The sequence below is a fragment of the Homo sapiens genome, chromosome 12, assembly GCF_000001405.40.
Source record: "Homo sapiens chromosome 12, GRCh38.p14 Primary Assembly".
NCBI classification, from domain to species: Eukaryota; Metazoa; Chordata; class Mammalia; order Primates; family Hominidae; genus Homo; species Homo sapiens.
In genome coordinates, this window is record NC_000012.12 from 97,981,266 (window position 1) to 98,005,895 (window position 24,630).

At 39.7% G+C, this 24,630-nt stretch overlaps 1 non-coding gene across 1 annotated transcript; it reads right to left on the reverse strand.

The window, feature by feature from the left end:
• Positions 1-14,117: 14,117 nt before the first annotated feature.
• Positions 14,118-14,183, reverse strand: MIR4303 (microRNA 4303). The gene has a single exon (NR_036189.1). It is a non-coding gene; the product is annotated as a microRNA 4303 (primary transcript).
• Between the last annotated feature and the right edge of the window lie 10,447 nt (positions 14,184-24,630).

Consider the following 24,630-nt stretch of genomic DNA (forward strand, 5'->3'; position numbering starts at 1 on the left):
GTCAATAATGTGATTATTGTGATACATCACATCCAAAGAATAAAAGACAAAAACCATATTGTCATCTCAACAGATGCAGAAAAAGCATTTGACAACATTCTACATAACTTCCTGATAAAAGCTCTCAACAAACTAAGCATAAAAGGAATATACCTCAACATAGTAACGGCCATATATGCCAAACCCACAGCAAACATCATACTGAATGAGGAAATGTTGAAAGCCTTTCGTTTAAGAACTGGAACAAGACAAGAATGTCCACTTTCACCTCTCCTATTCGACATAGTACTGGAAGTTCTAACCAGAGCAATCAAACAGGAGAAGAAAATGAAAGCCATTCACCTTGGGAAAGAGGAAGTCATATCACTCCTCTTTGAAGATGACACAATTTTACATCTTGAAAACCCTCCAGCAAAAATCTCTTAGATCTAATAACTAAATTCAGTAAAGTTGCAGAATGCAAAAATCAACAAACAAAAATCAGTAGCATTTCTGTACTGTAATAATGAGCTAACTGAGAAAGAAATCAAGAAGGCAATCCCAATTCATAATAGCTGCCAGAAAACAACTAGGAATAAATTTAAATTTCGTTTAAGGAGATGAAAGGCCTCTACAGAAAAAAAAAAAAGACTAAACATGGGTAAAATAAATTGAAGAGAACACACACAAAGGGAAAGATATCCCATGCTCATGAATCAGAAGAATCAATATTGTTAAAATGACCACACCACCCAAAGCAATCTACCGGTTGAATGCAATCCTTATCAAAATACCAATGTCACTTTTGAACAGAAATGGAAAAAACAATCCTAAAATTTGTATGGAACCAAAAAAAGAGACCAAATAGCCAATGAAATTCTGAGTAAAAAGAATAAAGTTGGAAGCATCATACTGCCTGACTTCAAAATATATTATAAGGCTATCGTAACCAAAACAGCATGGTATTGGCAGAAAAACAGAAACATAAACCAATGGAACAGAATATAGAATCCAGCAATAAATCCACATATTTACAGTCAATTGATATTTGTCAAAGACACCAAGAACTTATACTGGGGAAAGAATACCTTCTTCAATAAAAGGTGCTAAAAAAAATTGGATTACCTATGCAGAAGAATGAAAACGGGATTTCTGTCTCTCACCATATACAAAAATCAACTCAAGATGAATTAAAGACTTGAATATAAGACCTAATACCATAAAACTATTAGAAGAAACCACAAGGGAAACATTTCAGGACAATCGTCAAGGCAAAGATTTTATGACTAAGACATCAAAAGCACAGACAATAAAATAAAAAATAGGCAAGTGGGACTATATAAAACCAAAATGCTTCTGTACAGCAAAGGAAACAATTAACAGAGTAAAGAGACAACCTGTTGAATGGGAGAAAACATTTCCAAATTATCCATCAGGCAAGTCTAACATCCAGAATATACAAAGAACTCAAACAACCGTTTTTTTAAAATCCCGTTAAAGAGTGAGCAAAGGGCATGAATAGACAATTCTCAAAAGAAGACATACAAATGGCCAACAGGCATATGAAAAAATGTTCAACATCACTAACCTTGAGGGAAATGCAAATCAAAACCACAATGAGATATCATCTTACTCCAGTTAGAATGAATCTTATTAAAAGGACAATAAATCACAAATGCTGGCAAGGCTGCAGAGGAAAGGGAACTCATTCACTATTGGTAGGAATAGAAGTCATTAATGCCAATAGGGAAAACAGTATCGAGATTTCTCAAAAAACTAAAAATAGAACTACTATATGATTCAACAATTCCACTACTGGGGATATATCCAAAGGAGAGAAGGTCAGTATATCAAAAGGATACGGGCACCTCCACATTTATTGTGGCACTATTCACAATAGCAAAGATATAGAATCAACCTAAGTGTCCATCAACAGACAAATAGATAAAGAAAATATGATATATATACAATGAAATACTATGCAGTACTAAAAGATGAAATCATGTCATTTGCAGCAACATGATGGGACTTGAGGACATTATGTTAATTGAAATAAGCCAGACACAGAAAGACAAATATTGCTTGTTTTCATTCATATACGGGAGCTAAAAGTCGATTTCATGGAAGTAGAAAGCAGAACTATAGTTCTCAGATGCTGGGAAGGATTGCAGTGGGGAATGAAGAGAAGTTGGTTAATAGATACAAACATATAGTTAGAAGGAATAAGTTTTAATTCTCCACAGCAGAATAGGGTGACTATAGTTAACAAAAATATATTGTATATTTCAAAATAGCTCAAAGACAGGATTTGAAATGTTCCCAGCACATAAACATAAAATGATAAATAAGGTTATAGATACCCTAAATACCCTAACTTGATTATTACACATTTTGTGAATATAACAAAATATCACATGTACCCCATTAATATGTATAAGTATAAATAAAGAAACAAACACATTTAATCCTTACAACTCTGGAGGAATTTTAAGAACTTCAAAATCAGTCTTATTAGACTGAAGTTAAGGTGTCAGCAGGGCTAGCTCTCTCTGGAAGCTCTGAGAGGAGAATCTTTTCTCTGCCTTTTTTCAGCTTGTAGTGGCCTCTTGCATTCTTTGAGTTTTGACCCCTTCTTCCATCTTCAAGACACATTACCCAATCTCTGCTTCCCTCATCACATTGTCTTCTGCTCTGATAAGGACCCTCATGATTGCATCAGGCCCACGCAGATAATCCAGGACAATCTGCTCCTCAGGATTCTTAAAGTGCAAAGCCTTTTTTGTCACGTAAGGTAACATCCCCAGGATCTGGGGCTTAGCACTTGGACATTTTGGTAGAACATTGTCCAGACTTTCATTGGGACTTAGCCACAAGTCTAGTTGACTGAATATTCAGCATTAAATAAAATGATGCAGATTTAGGATCGAGACCAAATGTTGAAATAACAAAATGCCCTTTCAAGCATAAATAAATATAGTACATTGCTTTGACGCCTTCAGCCAGTAGTTTCTCAACCTATCTTCCCTCCACAGGGAAAGGTAGCATGCCAGAACTTATTACAATAAAGATTGCATACTACCTATTCCCATGGTATGACATGGCTGAGACCACTGATTAAGCCCTCTTAGGGGCCCAAAGAATTTCCTGGAATCAGTAATTTACTAACTATATTCATGTGGTTATATGGATATCCGAGCACATGAACTTATTTCTGATTGTGCTTGACAAACTCAGAGGGAACTTACATTTATCAGCATAAAAATGTCCCCACATCATGCTTTCTCCTGACTAGCTTCATTTCCTTTCTCAAGCTCAGCCAACACAAAATACAGTCAGCTCCTGGGCTTTACATTATGTGATTGTGCACATCGGGCCTTATTGTTTCCAGTAGGTGAGTAAAAATTGGAAGCCAGGGGATGCTGCATTGCACTGAATATGATTCATTTCCCCCTGGTTTATTTGGCTCCCAATGTCATCAAAGACCAGTGTTCTGTTATACTTCCTATATTAGACAGGAACAGAGTTATCAGCTGGGAGCAGTTTGCCCTCCACCCCCATGATAAATCCAAGTAAAGTTTGACCTGCCAATCTTGTGCCCCATCAGGACATCCATGGGCAGAGGGTTTCTCGACTTAATTAGAATCTGTCTTAATGGGCTCACCAGGCCCTGGGAACCCAAAGATGCTCCTACACAGCAATTTTCTTTCTCTCCCTCTTCTTCTAGTTTGGCACAGCCTTGTCAACAGGTGTGATCAACAGTAAGGAAGCATGCAGTGCCAGTGCTCCCATTCTGGTCCAGGATGAGAACCCACGACTGAAAAGATGGTACTCACAGCCTCAGGCAAGCTGCCATGAGATTGTCATTCCTTGGCACTGGTGCCTGTGGCGAGCATCTTAGGCAACTTTTGATTGGGCACCATGCCCTCCAAACAGATGGGCATGAATGTAGGCAGGCAAGAGACCATTTATTTATATCAACTGTATTTGCTGAGGGCAGGGTTCCCAGCTGGGAACATCAAAACAGCTCTTTGTCCTGACCGTCTGCAGCTCTGATGGAGGTGATGCTGCCTTGCAAATTCAGCTGGATTAATTTTGAAAAATAAGAACAATGTTTCTATGGACACCAGGGGACATTCTTGGCTCCCTTCAATGGTTCTGAGCACAGAGCAGGCTGGGCCCAGGTCATTTTAATAAAATCTCCCATCCCTGTTTGGATTGGGTGGGAAAGAGCCAAGAAAGCTTTCCAAATTGGGCCAAGTTTAGGTGAACAGAGTTAGCCCCACATGGAAGCCAGTTTTGTGAGTTCTTTTATGCACAACGCCAAGTAGCTTCCAAAGAAAATTAAGCTGAAGTCACCCAGACTCAGGAGCTAGGAAGGGTATTCTGATACTGCCCTGTTTTTCTAGGCATCCATTAACCTTCATGTTGTCCCTCCTGTAAATGATGAATGGGATCAAGTGTGAGCTGAAAGTGCAAGAGTAGACATTAGGGTTGGCTTCAATGAGAGTTTCAATTGGCTTTAAGGGTAAATAGATAAATAAAGAATTATTACCTACATATAGACATCTGAGAAATTGTAGGGGTCTCTAAAGAGTACAACTTTATTATTAATATCAGTATTAACTACTAAAATATATTGCTTGCTTGCATGTCTGGCGTTGTCTTAAGCACTTTACGTGCAATCTTTCTATTAATGTTTGTAATAGCTCTATCATCTAATAATAGCTCCATAGAGGCGCTATTATTAGTATCATTACACAGATGAGCAAACTGAAGCTTAGAGAGACTTATTCAAAGTCATACAGCTAGTACCTGGGATAGCCAGGGTACAAACTCAGGACTGCTTGACAACAAAAGCTGACACTATGTTCCACTTCCTCTAGAAACACAGGAAGCTGCCAGTCTGTTTGGTAATTGGCTTGCCTAATTTGAGGGTGTTTCGTATAATAGTAGTTTAGGCCGATGCTGGTCAAACTTTCATGTGCCTACAAATTATCCGTGGGGAAAGTGCTAAGGTGCAGATTCTGATGCAGTAGACTTGAGAGGATGTCTGAGATTTCTGCGTTCCTAACAAGCCCAGGATGCTGGCACCCTGCAACAATGAGAGTAGCAAGGTTTCAATTTAGAATGAACATTGGATCTCAACCTGAGCAGCATGTTGAAATGTTCTGGGAAAACAATTTTGATGCCCAAATAGTACTTTCAGATATTCTGATTTAATTGCTCAACAACCGTTGGGTTAGCGATTCTCTTACCTATCAGTGTTTTGTCATTTGTTTGAAATGGGAATGCTGAATTGTAAAAGATGCCCTTGGTTACATTCTGTACAGATGGAAAATAAGACAATGAATGAAGATGTGTTGTTGTAGGACCCTCCCAGTTCCTAGTCAGTTCATTTTCCTGATGCTGATTATTTATAACAATGCTGGAGGCAGGTGATGGGATAGACCCTGCTACTCACACAGTCGTCCTTAATGTGAGCAGCTGGGAGCAAGAGCAGACTGAGATCAGCACCACCATTGCAATTGTTTAAGAGCCAAGTGCTGACAAACTGTATGTTGATGGAGGGGATGAGAAATTACAATCAGAGACATCATCTTTCTATGAAATGGGTTTTTTGTTGTTACTTTTGGTTGAGAGGATCTAAATAGGAAAACCTAAGGCCATTCAAATCTAAACCGTGTCAAACCTTTCTTTAATCAGTTGTACAAAACAAGCAATAGTATGGATCAGGTGTTCAATGATTGTATTTATTAGAGAAGAACAATTGATTCCATGTTGGCGGATATGTGACCATGACTCTTTTTAGGGTTTCCTGCTAAGTGTGATCAAACCAAAAGGACTACAGATTATTATATTCAAATCAATATTTTTGCTGGCAAAAGAAAAGCATTCAGTGAGAAAAAAAGTATCTGCTTTTCAGAAGATCTCAGCCTCATGTATTATTGATGCAAAGATGATCAGATAAAAACTGGAACTTGGCAAGCTGTCAAATAAAAAATGCAGAGTGAATCAAAAATTTATAAAACAGTATTGAGTTATTACAATTCTATTATAGATACCAGTAATCATTTTTACTGAAACAAACCCTTTATATGACTGTACAGCTGGGATGTTAGGGTATGAGGATTTAAAACTCAACCTCATTTTGAGTGGAGGATACCACAAAATTAAAAATTAAGTGTAAAGAGTAAATGATTTAGGCACTGTTCAGTAGCAGATTGAATAAAAACAATAGAATTTTTTTTTTTTAATGGCAATGCTTTCCTTCTTGGGCCACATTTTGCTGACTTCCTTGAAAAATTACTGGCATTAGATTCAGAGCAGGATGAATTGCTTTACAGGATCTGTAAACCTAATTTGAGCATGTGCCAAGAACATGCACGATGCAAGATGCTGGGGAGGAAAAATGACTTGGTGAAATATTTTGTCACTTATGGATTTTCTTTTATAGAAAAAAGATTCCAACTCTATAGTTTTATTAGCTGCCTCATCTTGTATAGGGCCCGTCTCTCTCCCTTGCTAGAACTAACGTCTGACAATGCCAGAAATACATTCAAGAATGGAAAGATGACTGTCACCATTCTTAAATATTCAGAAGATAATTGCCAAAGTTAGAGCACCTTGACATAAAACATCCCTTTGGCCCCCAAGCCAATTTGCCTATCCAAGATCAAATAAATAGCTATAATGATAAAATCATGCAAGTCTGGATACATAATCAGCATTTGAAAAATGGCACTAAGAAAGTTTAACATCGCCAGGCACGATGACTCACATCTATAATCCCAGCACTTTGGGAGGCCAAGGCAAGTGGATTACTTGAGATCAGGAGTTCGAGACAAGCCTGGCCAACATGGTGAAACCCCCATCTCTACTTAAAAAAAAACACAAAAATTAGCCAGGCATGGTGGGATTAGCATGTAGTCCCAGCTACTAGAGAGGCTGAGGCAGGATAATTGTTTGAACCTGGGAGGTGAGGTTGCAGTGAGCCCAAATCACGTCACTGCACTCCATCCTGGGTGACATTCCATAAAAAAGAAAGGAAAGGAAGGGAAGGGAAGGGAAGGGAAGGGAAGGGAAGGGAAGGGAAGGGAAGGGGAAGGAAAGGGAAGGAAAGGGAAGGAAAGGGAAGGAAAGGAAGGGAAGGGAAGGGAAGGGAAGGGAAACGAAGGGAAGGGAAAGGAAAGGAACGGAAGGGAAGGGAAGGGAAGAGAAAGGAAGGGAAAGGAAGGGAAGTAAAGGGAAAGGAAGGGAAGGAAAGGGAAATGAAGGGAAGGGAAAGGAAAGGAAGGGAATGGAAGGGAAAGGAAGGGAATGGAAGGGAAAGGAAGGGAATGGAAGGGAAAGGAAGGGAAGGGAAAGGAAGGGAAGGGAAGGGAAAGGAAGGGAAGGGAAAGGAAGGGAAGGGAAAGGAAGGGAAGGGAAAGGAAGGGAAGGGAAAGGAAGGGAAAGGAAGGGAAGGGAAGGGAAAGGGAAGGAAAGGGAAAGGGAAAGGAAGGGAAGGAAAGGGAAAGGAAGGGAAGGGAAAGGAAGAAAATGGAAAGGAAAGGAACAGAAGGGAAGGGAAAGGAAGGGAATGGAAGGGAAAGGAAGGGAATGGAAGGGAAAGGAAGGGAAGGGAAGGGAAAGGAAGAAAATGGAAAGGAAAGGAACAGAAGGGAAGGGAAAGGAAGGGAAAGGAAGGGAATGGAAGGGAAAGGAAGGGAATGGAAGGGAAAGGAAGGGAAGGGAAGGGAAAGGAAGGGAAGGGAAAGGAAAGGAAGGGAAGGGAAGGGAAGGGAAGGGAAGGGAAGGGAAGGGAAGTGAAGGGAAGGGAAGGGAAATGAAGGGAAGGGAAAGGAAAGGAACGGAAGGGAAGGGAAGGGAAGAGAAAGGAAGGGAAAGGAAAAGGAAGGGAAGGGAAAGGAAAGGAAGGAAAAGGAAGGGAAGGGAAGGGAAAGGAAGGGAAGGGAAGGGAAAGGAAGGGAAGGGAAAGGAAGGGAAGGGAAAGGAAGGGAAGGGAAAGGAAGGGAAGGGAAAGGAAGGAAGGGAAGGGAAGGGAAAGGAAGGGAAAGGAAGGGAAGGGAAAGGAAGGGAAGGGAAGGGAAGGGAAGGGAAAGGAAGGGAAGGAAAGGAAAAGGAAGGGAAGGGAAAGGAAGAAAATGCAAAGGAAAGGAACAGAAGGGAAGGGAAATGAAGGGAATGGAAGGGAAAGGAAGGGAATGGAAGGGAAAGGAAGGGAAGGGAAGGGAAAGGAAGGGAAGGAAAGGGAAAGGAAGGGAAGGAAAGGGAAAGGAAGGAAAGGGAAAGGAAAGGAAAGGGAAAGTAAAGGAAAGGAAAGGAATGGAAGAGAAGGGAAAGGAAGGGAATGGAAGGGAAAGGAAGGGAAAGGAAGGGAAAGGAAGGGAAGGGAAGGGAAGGGAAGGGAAAGGGGAAGGGAAGGGAAAGGGAAAGGGAAAGGGAAAGGGAAAGGAAAGGAAGGTTTAACAATGAGGCCTGCATTCTGTCCTTGGCTTTTTCTCTCTGCCTAGGCAAAGAACAAAGAGGGTCTCTTGGAGCTGAAAACAATTCCAAAGCAAGGTAAGTATAGAGCACAACCAGAAACATTGGCCCTGGTCACTTTGTCTTTTAGAAACAGAATTGACTCCACTTAAATGGATCTTATAAAGAGGCAGAAAGGGAGAAATGCCTTGCTTAATCAGACCCAGAGCCAAATTACCCCATATTATGACCAAGATAAGAAAATGTGGTAAACTTTCATCAGACTTAAAATGTTCAACATTGAACATTTTACCTAGAATTCTGATGCCAAGAAATCTGCAGGATGCATCAATCACTATAATGAAATAGCACAAAAAAACTCAGATTCTCTGCTGTGATATAAGAATTATGTTGAATCATTATTTTTTGGCTTAATGTTTCATTCATGTCACCGTGACTGTTTTCAAGAACATAAGGAAAAAGCAAATACAAGGAGAATTTTAATTTCCTACTGAGAACCAACTTTAAAAAGTTCCCATGGCCCTTGCATTTGTCTTGGGTAACTGGTTATGTGCTCTGCTGTGTTCCCAAGATTAGGAGTTAATTATTCAGTGTTGATTATCCCAGTTACTAGGCTAGCGAACTCAACAAGAGCCAGATGAGGGCTGGAGATCAAGTGAGCCATGAGATCTCAAGTAAGAACAAACTCAGTGTTTGGAATGGGCCCGCTGTTGCATGCTCTGCCTCTGTCAGAATCCAGTGAGGAAAACAGAGGCCACATTAAGTATTGCACACAGAAGAGATTTAGCACAAGGAGTTGGTTACATGTGTGTCAATAAAGGGCACAGCCTTTTGGACAAAGTATAAATAAAAATCCCTCGGGTGAAATGCTCTCCAACTGCACACAGGAGTTTGGTAGGCTTAGCCAACCACCCTGCTTCAAACTGCATTTCAGCCATTTGGATCTCCTGACTTGCTTCTATTGGGAAGAATAAACTCTATCCTCATTTCCTATCATCTATTGCAGCATGAAGTGACTGAAAATTGTTCAAGCAATTACTGTGTTTCACCAACCGGGTGCCTTTGGCCGTAAGGGGCCTTTTGGGTTTGCAATAGCTCTACTGTCATTCCCCTTCTTTGACTGATTCTGGTACGAATTGCTAATGGCTTCCAAACTGTGGTCCTCTCTCTCACTAGAAGAGAAGTCAGATTCCTTCAAAAACGAAGTTTGCTCTTAGGTATATGTAGCGATGATGGGAGTGGAAGGGTAGCAGCAGAGGAAACGGACAGAGACACTCACCTCTAACACTAATCAATACCACTGATGAGTCCTGTTGGTTCTGCCTCCTAATTATCTCTCGAATTCATTCCCTTCACTACTCCCACAGCCACGGTGTTCCGCCAGGTCATTTCCTCTCTCAGCTTAAATATCACAACAGCCTCCTAACTGATTCCTCTGCCTTCTACCCAGCTCTCTCTCTATTCATAATTCTCCATAGCAGTGGTTCTTTACCAGGGGTGCACTGCCGCATCTGTTCCCACCCCCTACCAGCAGATATTTGAAAATGTGTGAGAGCGTTTGGGGGTTGTTGTGAAATGGAGGTGGGGCATGCTGGCTGGCATTAAAAGGCAAGATCAAGGATACTGAAATGCCTACTTGTGTTCATTTCCTATTGCTGTGCTAAAAAAAAAAGTACTGCAAACTTCACAGCATAAAACACTCATTTGCCATCTTACAGTTCTGGAGGTCAGCTGTCTGACCATGGCGTGACTGGTCTAAGATCAAAGTTTCAGCAGGGCTGCATTTCTTAACGAGAAGCCCAGGGGGAAGAATCCCCTTCTTAGGTCATTCAGATTGTTAGCAGAATTCAGTTCCATGTGGGTGTAGGACTGTGGTTCCAACTTTCTTGCTGGGTCTCAGCAATATTATTCTCAGCTTCCAGGGGACTCCCACATGTGTTAGCTGATGGTCTCCTTCATCTTCAATACTAGTAATGATGGATTGAATCTTTCTCATGCCTTGTGCCTCCTGCCTTCTTTTCTGCCATTCCTTTTTCTGGCTCATCTGTCTTCCTCTTCCACTTGTAAAGGCCCATGATTAGACTGGGTCCATCCAATCTAAGTACTCCAGGATAATTTTCCTAACTTAAGGTTTATAACTCTAATTGTGTTTGTAAAGTTCCTTTTGCCATGCAATGTAACATGTTTATAGATTCTGGGAATTAAGACATGGACATCTTTGGGGAATCACGAATCTGCCAGCTACACCTGGAATGACTGATCTTCATAACAAAGAATTGTTTCATCCAAAATTCTAATAGCAGCCCTGTTGACAAATACTGAGTGGGTGGTCTTTCTAAAATACAAATCTGATCGTGCCTCTTTTTTGCTTTAAAATCCATCAGGAAAATTCCCATTGCCCTAAAGACAAAATCCAGGGCAAAGCCTTACCATGTTTTCAGGAAAGTTCTTTATAATCAAGCATCTCTGCTAATCTCTAACTCACATCTCACCATTCTGCCTCTGTCTCTGCCTCCTGGCTCCTGCCACACTGGATGATTTTCTGACCATCCTATGGAATCTCTTACCTTTTAATGTTCACCAAGGCTATTTCTTCCACCTGGGGCACTCCTTCCCCAAACTCTTACCCACCTCCCTTAACGCAACTAATTCCAACTCAACTTTCAGGTTTCAATTTAATATCTTAGTTCCTTGTGAAAGCCTGCTATAATCCTACAAGTTAGAGTTAGAAATCATTCCCATATGTTGTCATAGCAGCCACGTGGCCACACACACATCATTTATCATACTGCTTTGTAATTTTTTTTGCCTGTCTTTGATTCCCCGTAAGCTCTAAGCTGTAAGAAGGCAGGGATGGTGTCTTATTTGCTGTTTTATCTATAGCACTCAACTCATACCTGGCATATATTTACCATCAACAAATATTTATTCATTAAATAAATTACTTCATCATGTAGACTTTTATACAAAGAGTGCAATAAACTTGGTTTCAACTGCTCTATAATAGAGACATAATTATAACAATAGTCAAGCACCAAATTTTGTCATTCAGGGACCATTTCATTTGAACTCTCTATCTGTATGAAGTAGGAATTATTATTGAGCCAATGTTATGGAGAAAATTGAAACTCAAAAAGGATAGGCCAGGTGTGGTGGCTTACACCTGTAATCTCAGCACTTTGGGAGGTGGAGGCGGGCAGATCATAAGGTCAAGAGATCGAGACCATCCTGGCCAACATGGTAAAACCCCGTCTCTACTAAAAATACAAAAAAAAATTAGCTGGGCATGGTGGCACGTGCCTGTAATCCCGGCTACTTGGGAGGCTGAGGCAGGAGAGTCGCTTGAATTCGGGAGGCAGAGGTTGCAATGAGCTGGGATCATGCTATTGTACTCTAGCCTGGCAACAGAGCAAGACTCCGTCTCAAAAAAAAAGAAAAAAAACACACACACACACAAACACAAAACAAAAAAAGGATAAATACCTGCAAGAGCACTTGGCACTCAGGTGGCAAAGCTAAGATCCAAGGCTAGTTTCTGATTCCAAGCCAATACCATGGTACCTTTCTGAACCAAAAAGAGTACCTTACAGTTTATAAAACATTATGCCACAGTCCTCATAACCTCACTCTAAGATTAAAATGTTGATCTCTTTTTTGGACATGAAGAAAGGTACTCATCAAAGTTAAGTGACTTGGCCAAAATCACACAGCTAATATGTGGCAAATTCAGACTAAAAGTCAGATATTTTAATTACATTCCTCTTGTTCTAACTATACCATCTACAAACTGGGAAGAGGCTAGAACTTGGAGAGTGGAAGAAACTACCTTGGTAAGGTATTCTCAAAATCTTTGTGTCATCATCTCATACCTCCCTGCACACACACAGCCAATAAAGAACTTAGACCAATGAAAAATCTATTTAGAAAAAAAAAGGAACTCCTCTATTCATGAATCACTTATATATTATGCAGGTGGCAAAAAGAGAGAGAAAATGTTATGTGAATTTAATCTCCAAAAAGATGATAGGTGGTGAATAATGGCAGTTAGTTAGCTTGAGAACAAATGTTGATTATCATAGTTATCAGAATACATACATGGTATAGAATCCAACCTTGAGATAAGAAATCTGTCACTATAGTGTATGGGTCAGGACTCTGTTGGCTCCATTGTAGCCAGCGTCCAACAGGGCCTCTGGTAGTCTTTCCCTCTTGGTATTCATATCCTTGTATATTCCCCTCCCATATGGAATCAAGATTGACCTAGTAAACAACAGAATACTAAAGATGTGATGGTATGTCATTTTCAAGGTTAAGTCATAAAAGACATTTACATCTTCCACCTTGGTCTCCTGGATCGCTTAACTTAGGGAAAGCCATCCGCCATATCGTGAGAGCACAAGCCAGGCTGGGGAGAGGTTTCTGTGTGAAGAACTGAAACCCCCTACCAAGAGTCAGTACAGGCTTATCACCACATGGCTAAGCTACCTTGGAAGCAGATCTTCTAGCCCCAGTCAAGCCTTTAAGTGGCTGTAGCTCCAGCAAACATCTGAATGAACATTATGAGAAATCCCAAGTCAAAACCACCCAGCCAAGCAGCTTCGAATCCCTGACCCACAGAAACTGAGAGATAATAAATGTATATTTTTGTCTTAACCCACTAATTTATTACACAGAGATAGATAACAATACAGGCAACGAGTGACAACTCCTATTTGAACTAGCTTTAAACAAACTGGGACCTCTTAACCTATGTAAGTAAGGAAAGTCTCAGGAGACATGGCCTTAGGGAGAGTGGAACTAGATACTCCGAAGGGGCCAGGCTCCTTTTTCTTTCTCTCTCATCTCTGCTTCTCTCTGCACATAAGTTGCATTCTCTTAGTCTTCTTCCACCTGACAGAAAACATGGCCACCAACGCCATCAGGCATTACCTCTGACTTTCTCCCATCCCAAGTTCTAAAAGCATGGAAAGTACTCCAGTTGGCCTAAAAATGGATCACTTGCTCATCCTAGACCAATCAGTGGAGGCCTAGCTGGTGGAATCAGTAAAAATATCTATTTCCATCCAAACCGCATTATTAGGGTGAGGAAAAGAACATTTCTTAGAAACAACATGGGGTGGGCAGTTTCCTTGGAAGAGAAACAAGCAGTCCACTGCTCACTGTATGTTCACATAGGAGAATGAAGACACATACGTATGCATGCACAAGGGGTTTCTCTATGCTAATCCTGGGGTGACAGTAAACATCATTTTCATGAATCATTTTGTCACCTGGCCCTAAGGAAAAGGCTCTCTCTAGCCAGGAAAACACATCAGCCAGATTTCCAATGAGAAGTAAATCTTATCTTTCAAAGAGAAAGGAAAAAAAATAGCCTAAAGCAGCCCCAAAGTAGAAAATACCTCTGAGATTTCTTTCCTGAGAACCTAGGGTCTAGATGATGAGAGAGGAATAACAATAATAATGATAATAGATGCCATCTATCATGCACATGTCAGGTACATTAAGCTACTGGATATCATTTTGACTCATATCACACAACTGATAAATGCCAGAGCCTAGATGACTCCTGAGTCTGTCTGCTGCCAAAGTCTAAACACTTAATCACTATGCAAAATACCAGAGAAGGAATTACAGAAGCCCAAGCCTCAACCAAGACCATGGTTAGCTCCTAAGCTAAAGAAAAGCAGAGCAAGCTGTCCTCAGCTCAGAAGCTATTTTCTGTAAATTTCATGTCAACCAAGATCTCATTTCAGCATTCCCCTGAGAGCCAGGTGGAAGAACTGAACTCCAGCTCACTCCTGCTGCTCTTGTCTATGAAACAGAGCAAGACCCAAAGCAAAAGTTTTCAGAATTTTGTTATAACAAAATCTCTATTTTTCATTGTCTTCAGAAATAAGTTTTGCAAATCAATTCCAGCTTTGGGTGGTTCTCAGAGGCAGTTACATAAAAAGAAAGCCCATGTGACTCATTCCTGCTGAGAGTGGGCCACTTTGCTCTCTTGGAAAAAGGGAATTTAAGTGTTCATCAAGGCAGGCATGACATCATCACTGACAAGTCAGGCCAACCTTCAGATGAGGACCATGTCTGTTGTTTGTTAAGTGTGTCTTGGGGAAGTTAATACTTCATGTCAAGGTTTCTTTATCTGAAAAAAAAACGTGCCTCTATCTCATATTTCACAAGGTGATTGTGAAGACCGAATGAGACAACACATGTGGAAACACCTAGCAAAGTACTTAATGCTATGGTTTGAATGTCTGTCCCCTTCAAACCTTCCATTGAAATTTGATCCCATGTTGGAGGTGGGGCCTAATGAGGGGTGTTTGGGTCCCCATTGTAGATCCCTCATGAATAGAGTAATGCCCTTCCTTGGGGGTGAGTGAATTCCCAGTCTATGAGTTCCTGCTAGAGTTGGTTTTAAAAAGAGCCTGGCACCTACTCCAGTCTTGTTTTTTTTTTTATCACCATGTGATCTCTGCACACACTGGATTCCCTCGCTTTCTGCCATGGGTGGAAGCAGCCTGAGGACTTCACCAGATGCCCAACCTTGAACTTTTTCAAACATCAGAAATAAAGTGAAATGACTGAAATAAACCTTTTTTCTTTATAAATTACCCAGTCCCAGGTATTCCCTTATAACAACACAAAATGGACTGAAACACTTGATAAACATTTGTGACATTTGTCTTTCATCATCATGGCTTTGTTTTGCTCTATGTTACAGTGCATGCGGCTTTTCTCCTCAAGGAGGTTCTAAGTTCCACTTGGCAGCATCACTGTCTTATTCCCACTGTGTGTCCCACACATCACTCATGAGCAGGTAGGGCTTGATGTGCTGATAGTGGGTTGTGCTGGACTCCACAGAAAGCAAATTTTCAAAACCTACAAGCAACATGTTTTCTGGCATGCCACAATATGCCATCATCTCACTAGACAATAATAATATACATGAACACTTGAAAATTTGAACAGACAGATATCTAACCTAATTGACTCAGTGGCTATAAGAGACAAGTCTATGGATACATATAAACATTTTAATCCTACTTGGCAAAAAGTGTGTCAATGGGTGTAAGGAGTTAGTTATAGCCTCCACTCTCATCTGGGCAACTATGCCCTTTCTCCAACCCCTGTTGACAAGGCAACCCCAAGGTGGCCACACTGCAAACTAAATGATCTCTTCAAGTTTATGCAGTTGCACATTTGGCTGGACCAGAGACAGCAAAATATGATGCAACTAGGAATCAGATGAAGATTTAGACCAATCAGATCCTTTCCCTTGAGAGCATGAACTTCGAAATACCAAGGAACAAGGCAGCGCCAGATGGGCATTCAAACTGAAAGAATACCATTGGAAGACAAATTAGAGTAGCGGGTGAAGGCTAGAGTCAGTCAGCCTGGATCCCTGTGTTAGCTTTGTCAGTTCCTGCCTATGTGATCTTGGGAAAGGTACTTTCTCCAAGTGTTCTCATCTGTAATATGGAGATGATAACAGGACTTCCCTCATGAAGTTAGTATGAGGATTAAAGAGTAAATGTATATGAAAAGTACTTGGATGGCTGACACATAGTTAGAGCTATATAAACAATGGCTGTCATTATCAGGTAGACTCCAAGATCAAGTAAAGCCCACACCATGTGCAGAAAACAATGAGAAAGTAGAAACTATGAGAATGCCTAGGAAGCTCTGAGGTCAATACTGAGAGAAGAATAGGGTATGTGCATGGGGAACCCATGAGTCACACAGACCCTCTAAAGCATGAGAAAGACACACAGAGCATAAGATATTTTCAAGCTGACCCCTCTCAAATGTCCTTCAGCTCCTTGGAGTATGGGTCAACCTGCCTGTTCTCTGAGCTGGGAAACCTAAAGAACCTAATATTTGGTACAAGACGGAGCCTGAACAAACAGAATTGTGTTTTTACTGAAAGTCCACAAAGGCTTCATGAAGATGATGTATCCCAATTTTTTTCAGTAAAGAGATAAAAATGAGGCCACGAAAAAACAACATTGACATGCCCCTTACCTCATCATAAATTGCTGGTGAAAGCCCCAAGTTGGCACATCTGAGCTTTCTCCATCTAGCAAGTGATAACCCTTATCAAAGGAGCAGAGTCTGAAGCAAAGAATGTCTTGCAGCCCCGATAAGCTCCAAGGCACTGGGCCAGGGTAATGGACCATAGGCGATGGAGTGGGGTCTGCCAAGCTCAATAATACAGCATTGTGGCTGCATTGGAAAATGTTTTAATTTACATTTTCAAGCGCAAAATATTTTCCCCTCATGCTTTAGCTAAATTAGGTAGTTAAAGTCTGTGAAGTGGCAGTAATTGGAAACAATGGATTTTATATTTGACATTTATTATTTTAGTGGAATCTGTTTTACATTTACATCAAACATCTAAGGACCCCTGCAGAAGTTTCCTTTGCTATTGCATTATCATTTAGCTCTAATAATGCACTTTGAATTCCCAATTCTCAATTATAATTATATCATTTCAGATAGAGTAAGAGATGGAGTAGAGATAAACCTTCACTGGAAATTGTACGCCTGTGCTTTCCTTTCCTTGTGTTGAACTTTGATACATTAATAATTTGCTCAATATATTTTTATCCTAATTCTTTAAAGTTTCATATTGTTCTCTAATTACTTTATATATTTTGATCTTACTTCCCCAAAAACCTACTTAGGGACAAAGATCATGTTTTGTCCATATATTTGCTTGAATATAAGTACATAATGAGAATCAAGATATGTTTCTCTACTCAGAACAGATCAGTGTTATCTTATGGGAAGTGGGGAGTAGAATCCAAGGGAGGACAAAATTCCATTTTGTTTAAGGAAAGATTTTCTTACAGAGCTGCTCGAGATGGATTAGGCTGATTCAGAAAGTAGTGAATTCTTAGTCCCCAGAAATGTTCAAAGGAAACTTTAAATAATCACCCTTCCTATTCTCTAATTTGACTCAAACTAAAAATTATAAAATATAGTTGTCAGAAGTTCTACAGATAAGTTTCGGCTTTACCTAAAGCTCTGCTGTAATGGATGTCCCATCTGAGACCACTTCATAACAAGGAAACGGGCCAAGAATGAAAAGGTTTGGAGTCAGAAAGAATTGGGTTTGACTCATAGCTTCACAACTTAATTCTGTGTGATCATGGGCAAAATGACCTAATCTCTCTAAGCTTAAGTTTCCTAATCTTGCAATGACATTAATAATGTAACTCTTATGAAAATTGAGAATAGGTACCCTTGTAATGAACTGGATGTCCTGAAGAGCCCCCAGTACTTAAGACAGCCCACTTCATTTGTGGTGGGGGAAAGTTAAAAAATACCATTTAATTCTTGACTTTCATAATTACAGAAATACAAACTGATCAAACTTTTGGAACAGAACTCAAAGACAGCCACCAGAAATAAAAAAAAAAAAAGAATGTGTACCTTTCAAATCACAGGGAAAACTGAAAGTGACAGAGAACAAAGAAAAAAGAAAGGAAACCTAAGACAACAGAAACTATAAAGCAAAATGACATAAGGAAAATAACCTGTGTTTGTTAATGCAAATTAAAATATTAATGCCAGGAGCTAATACTTTAGTGTTAAAGTTCCTTAAATTATTAGTTATCTACTAAAGCATTAGTTCCTGGTACTAATACTTTAATTTGCATTATGAAGTCCTTACTATGTTGGTAAGGACTTTACAAACTTCATCTCATTTAGTTCTTACGGTGTCCTAGAGATTGGCATTATTTTTATGCCCACTTTACAGGTGAGAAAAGTGAGGCTTAGAAAAGTAGAAATTTCTTAAATTTACCCAAGGACTAATATATTTGAAGCCAAACAACCTAGCTGCAGAGTGAATACTCGTAAATATTATGCCACCCTGTGGAAACAAAAGGGACTATATCTATATGTCTAAATATCATCACATATTTATATGTACAGGAAATAATTGGTCATAAATAAAATATGAAACAATATTTATCTCTAGGTAGTAGGATTATGAGTAGTCTTAATTTTCCTGTTTATAGCCTTCTGCATTTTTCAAATTTTCTGCAATGAACATGTATTTATGTAGTCAGGAGAAACGCCATGAAATTTACAATAGATTGCCCCGCTTCTTGTTATATTAGGAAGCCCAAGTCATGGTATAAATTCTTGAGATTTTCCTGGGATGTATGCTTCCTGAGGGAAAATGTTCCCAAAGTGTTCTCATCATTTCTTCCAGAGGAGCCAGTATTACAACTAGGAGATGAAGCACTTTGGTTTGTTGTTTCTAGTGTTTTCTATACAGATTTAAAAAAAAAAAGAAGAAAAGAAAAACTAAAAAGTTTTCAGTCTGAGGAAAATTTAAATAATCACTCATCTTATTCTCTCATTTGACTCAAAGTAAAAATTGTAAAATATAGTTGTCAGAAGTTCAATAGGTAAGTTTGGCCTTTACCTGAAGGTCTGGGGCAACGGATGTCCCATCTGAGGAATTCCAAAAGAACTCCCCAATCCAGGGAAAGGTCTCACCTCAGAGGCAATGTGTGAGAGTTCTAGCTACACACGTTGATGTAGCAAACAGCAGTCACATGGTCACATTCTCTTCCAAACTATTTCCATTTCGTCAAACCACAGAAATTGCCAGAAAGGATTGTAGTGTTGAGTCCACCCTTCTCTCTGTAAGTAAGAAACTGAGATCCTGAAAGGCTGCATCACTCTGTTTCCATCATGACCTTCCTAGACCAAGCTACAGCCTTCACTCACCTGAATTCCTGTATCTGTCCCCACCTGTCTCACACCCAATTCAGCGCCCCTTCAACTCCAGTTACCACCATGCTGCTCCCCTGACTCTCTCACTCACAGATTTTTATTGTTCTTAAAATAGAGAAGAATGTTCTTAACATGTTTTACAAGGTCTCTCCTAATCTGACCCTTGCCTTCCCATTTTTACCTGAATCACTTTTTTTTTTTTTTTTTTGAGACAATCTCCCTCTGTTGCCCAGGTTGGAGTGCAGTGGTGCAATCTTGGTTCACTGCAACCTCAGCCTCCTGGATTCAAGCAATTCTCCTGTCACAGGCTCCCAAGTAGCTGGGATTACAGGTGTGCACCACCACACCTGGCTCCTTTTTGTATTTTTAGTAGAAATGAGGTTTTACCATGTTGGTCAGGCTGCTCTCAAATACCTGACTTCAGGTGATCCACCTGCCTCGGCCTCCCAAAGTGCTGGGATTACAGGCATGAGCCACCGCGACCAGCCAATCACTCTCTTCTTTAGTTCTCTAAGCCCCAGCTGCACAGTCCAATTTTCCAAACTAGCCATTCTCCCCCCAGCAAATGTTCCTCTACTGGCCATGCACCTAGATAATTTCCACTGAGAGGTTTCCTAGACTCCAGTCCAAGTTAGATCCTTCTCTCTTATCATGTAAGCATCCTTCCTAGCTCTTATCATAGCTGTAGCTTTGCACTTCTTGCCTGTATTCCTCCCACTGGATTGGGACTCCGAGAGGCAAGGACATGTCAGTTTCACCCAGCATTTCACCATCAGCACTAACCCAGTGCCTGCCAAAGAAACACAGGCCCAGAGAGGTTATGTGATTCTCTCAAAGGCACATACCCAGTTAGTGATAGAGTCAAGTCTCAAATCCAGGTCTCCAGCATCGTTTCCTATAGAGCGCCCGTCTCTTTCTCACAGAGCTGCCTTTGTCCATCAATTATAGTTCTAGCCCAGCTCTTGTTTTTCTCCCAGATTTCAACTGTAAGACCTGGTGCTTCTGACTTCTCTCAAAGTCATCCTTCTCCACCTTCAACCCTGAGTCCCTGCTGAATTCCTTCGTGTTACTTAGAGTTGCAAAATGATTTGCTTGTGTTTGTCTCAACACGTTTCCCTGACATTCTGAACTCTCCGTAAATCAACCAGTGACAAAAATGTATTCAATCCCTCTTGTATTCTCAGCACTAAGCTGGCTGCTACAGGGAGTAAAAGGAAGACACAAATGTCCTTTTGACCCTTAAGAAACAAATTATCTATTTGAAGACATAAGGCTCACACATCTAATGCTAGTAGGGGAAAAAAACAGTAATAATAGTAATCAAGTTTGTGTAACACAGACTCTGAGTGCTACAGAAATTCAGCCAAAGAAAGATGAAGAAGGCTACACATGGAAGGTGAAAACTGATCTGGCATTGAAGGAAGTTAAGAACTTAGATCTGCAGAAAGGAAGGAAAAAAAAATTAAATTGCCATTTTCCAACAAGGGAAAATGATGGAAGCATCATCAATGATGCTTGACGTTGGGAAGCATTATCAATACATTTTGTAAAGGACCAACTCAAATGGAGAATAAGCCCAGACATGGGGGTGTAAAGAAAGACAAGGGCATAAGGTCTTGTTCCAAATCCCAAAGGGACTGTCAACAGACAAGCTGGGGAAGCTTGAGGGACAGTGTGACTCTCAAACCCTGCTATAGCCTCTCCACTATTCAGATGTCAATGTTAATAGTTAATGGTAAAAGTTAATCCTTATTGAACTCTATCTATATGTCAGACATTATATTAAGTGCTTTGCATATGTTATTTCATTTATTCTTACTTAATCCTCTCAATATTTCCTTTAACAGTAGGTAGTGGTATTATCCTCGTCTTACATATGAGGAAGCTGAGGCTTTGTCAGAGTAAATAACTTACCAAAGAAGATTATATAAATGGATTACATAGATCCAGAGTCTCAACCCACACTCTTTACTTGGGAGCCTGAGCAAAAATAAAAACGACTCAAAAATTTCCAATGCTGTTTCTAAAAACCAAAATAATAGCACAGAGTATGAACCCAGAGGTCTACCCATTCTACCTAGTATGTGTAAATCTTAAGGAATTTTACTGAATTGTGCAGGCATAGAGAGATGTAAAGGGGTCAGTTCTCACACCTTTATGATATTAAAATTTCATTAGTTTAGAACCATTAAGTCAAAAAGTAAAAGAAATATTTTTTTCCAAATACATCTGAGTTGCTGACCTAGAAATCACATGAATTGCTCCCCATTCTTTCTCCACCAGTGAACATTCTTCCCAATGTCAGTAACAGCATTTTAACATGCCTATTATAGGTAACAGAAAAGGTGATGTAAGTTTCAGGAATGGAAGGAGGGAGGGAAGAGGGAAGGAGGGAAGGAGAGAAGGAAGGAAGAAGGGAAGGAGGGAAGGAAGGGAAGGAAGGGAAGGAAGGAAAGGAAGGAAAGGAAGGAAAGGAGGGAGGGAGGGAGGGAGGGAGGGAGAGAGGGGCAGAAAATTGTCTCCTCTTATTGTCAAACGATGCTCGCCACCGCCTCTTATCTTCCCTCCATCTCCAGTAATGTATGTTGACAACAGTGACACCTCCTGGCGAAAACAAACTTGACCTCCTGCAGGATTTCATTTTGCTCACTCACCGCAAATTACTCTTGACTCTTCTTGTTGCCTCCAGGTGCAATTTTCTTTTCCTTATCTGGAAGACTGTACACTAGCACGGGCATCCTCAGCCTTAGAAACTCAATAACCCAGTGCTGACCTAACTGCAGAACTCGGTCTGACATGCAAAGCCCCGGAGTTTCATCCTAAAAACGTCAGCATGATTAGCCCAGAGACCCAATTCACAGCCTTCCTACTTACAGCTACATTAAATATAAATAAAGCAAACTAAATACCAGCTACTGAGAAATAGTTCAATTAAATCCTACAATGAGAGTGCCTCTTGATTTTAATGTGTTTAATCCCCTGGGAAACATAGTTGTTGTATGCCCTTCTTGTAGAATTTTTTTTTTTTTTGGTCTCATACTTGTGCAAATCATACAGCCACTAAAAAGGCTAAAAGCTTTTAGTATTATTGTTATCTAAAACAGTTTTAGAAAACTAACTGTGAAAGGTTTTGTTTCATCTCATTTCCTAGACATTCCAGGGCATGATCCACATGGTTACTCACCTTGAAAATAATATATTGGAAAATATAGTAAAGTATTTTGTACCTACTTTGAAAGCAATCCAGCACTTTGTTAAACTAGACCCCTGAGCAAGCATAATTAAGGGTGAAAGTAGCTGATGGATCAGAGAGGAAAATGGAGACCTCAAGCCCTGTGGCATTTTCCTTTTCTCAATTTTATAAAATAGCTTAGGCCCTTCTGTTTTTTTCTCTCTCTCTGAATCATTCAGTGGTTCAGAGTATAAAGAGTTTACCTTGAAACTTGTTTGTTCCTATTCGATTCACAGTCTGCACAAAGAAACCCCTTCATTTGGGCAACTAAATCTTGTAAGTTCGCTGGTTGAAAAAAGTCTATGAACTTTCCCTTAGTTAAGCTTTTATTTTGAAAAGACTCCTATGAGATACCTGCATATTAAATCTCAGGTGAACTTGCATCCCAAATTAATAAAAATTCAAACCCTTGCTCCTTTCCAGATCTAGTGATTCTTTTGACAAATAAACCTTGGAGATTAGATTATATCTTTGTTATGCAAGAACAGAAAAACACTGGTATTATAAAAAACAAAAGTTCTTCTAGCTGATCAAAAAGAAAACGGCGGTTGAGTCGCAACAGTTATATTTTTGTCTCTGTGTTGTTTTACAGTGAAAATCGTGGTTAAAATTTCAACTGCCTTCTGATACAATAAAGATTCCAAACATGGGCATTTCAAAACTTTATGCAAAGGCAAATTCTGGTGGGGGTGGTCAATTTCAAAAAAAAAAAAAAAAAATCTCTCTGCTTGCCTTAAAAGAACACACATGAAAGACAGATACTGGAACTAGAGGAACATGCTTCGTGATTAGCACAGCATCAGAATGATAGATCTGGAACATGTCAGCATATAACATACAAATGATAAATATATATTTGGACTTTATCACATAAGCTTATTCATTTACTCAACAGTGAATAAAGTATTTGCAGTGGGTTAAGCAAAATGGTAGGTGTTAGAAAACAATGGTGAACCCTGCCCTCGAGTGAGAGCAGTCTAGTATGAGATGATAGGGTTGTATGAGACATACTTATACTGAAAGATTATTCATTGTTTATCTGAAATCAAATTTAACTCAGTGCACTGCATTTTTACCTATTAAATTTGGTAAACTTAATAGAAGGTAAATGGGCAATTTCTTCTTTTTTATTGTTATTTTTCAGAGACAGGGTCTTGCTCTGCTGCCCAGGCTGGAATGAAGGGGTGCAATCATAGCTCATTGCAGACTCTAACTCCTGGGCTCAAGTGATCCTCCCACCTTAGTCTCCCAAGTAGCTGGGATTACAGGCCAGAGCTACTGCACCCAGCAGCAATTTCAATCTAGTATGATATATTGAAGTGATAAGAGTGAGCTGAACATTAAAGAAGTGCATAAGGATCTCTCTTTGAAATATTTATTTTATTTCCTTTGGATACATACACAGAAGTGAGACTGCTTGATCATATGATAGTTCTATTTTCAATTTTTTGAGGCATCTTCATATTGTTTTCCATAATCTACCAATTTACAGTCCTACCAACAGTTCTCTTTTTGCCACATTCTTGCCAACATTTAAGAGCCATCCTTACAGGTGTGAGGTAATATCTCATTGTAGTTTTGATTTGCATTTCCCTGATGATTTGTGATGTTGAGTACCTTTTCATATACCTGTTGGACATTTGTCTTCTTTGGAAAAATGTCTCTTCACCTCCTTTGCTCATTTTGTAATCAGGTTACTTGTTTTTGTTTGTTTTGTTTTGTTGTTTGTTTCTATTGGGTTTTATGAGTATCTTATACATTTTGGGTATTAACCCCTTATCAGATATATGATTTGCAAATATTTCTTCCCATTCCATAGACTGCCTTTTCATTTTTTTTGTTTCCTTTGCTATGCAGAAGCTTTTAAATTTGATGTAGTCCTACTTGTTTATTTTTATTTTTGTTGCCATCTTTTTGATTTTATAGCCAAAAGATCACTGCCATGTTCATTGTGGCATTATTTGCAATAGCCAAGATATGAAAACAACCTAAGTGTACATCAACAGATAAACTGATAAAGAAAATGTGGTGTGTAAATACACAGTGGAATATTATTCAATCATAAAAAAGAAGGCAGTCCTGCCTTTTACAACAACATGGATGAACCTAGGGAACATTAAACTACATGAAAGAAGCCAGGCTCAAAATACAAATACAGCAGGATCTCACTTCTAAGTGAAATC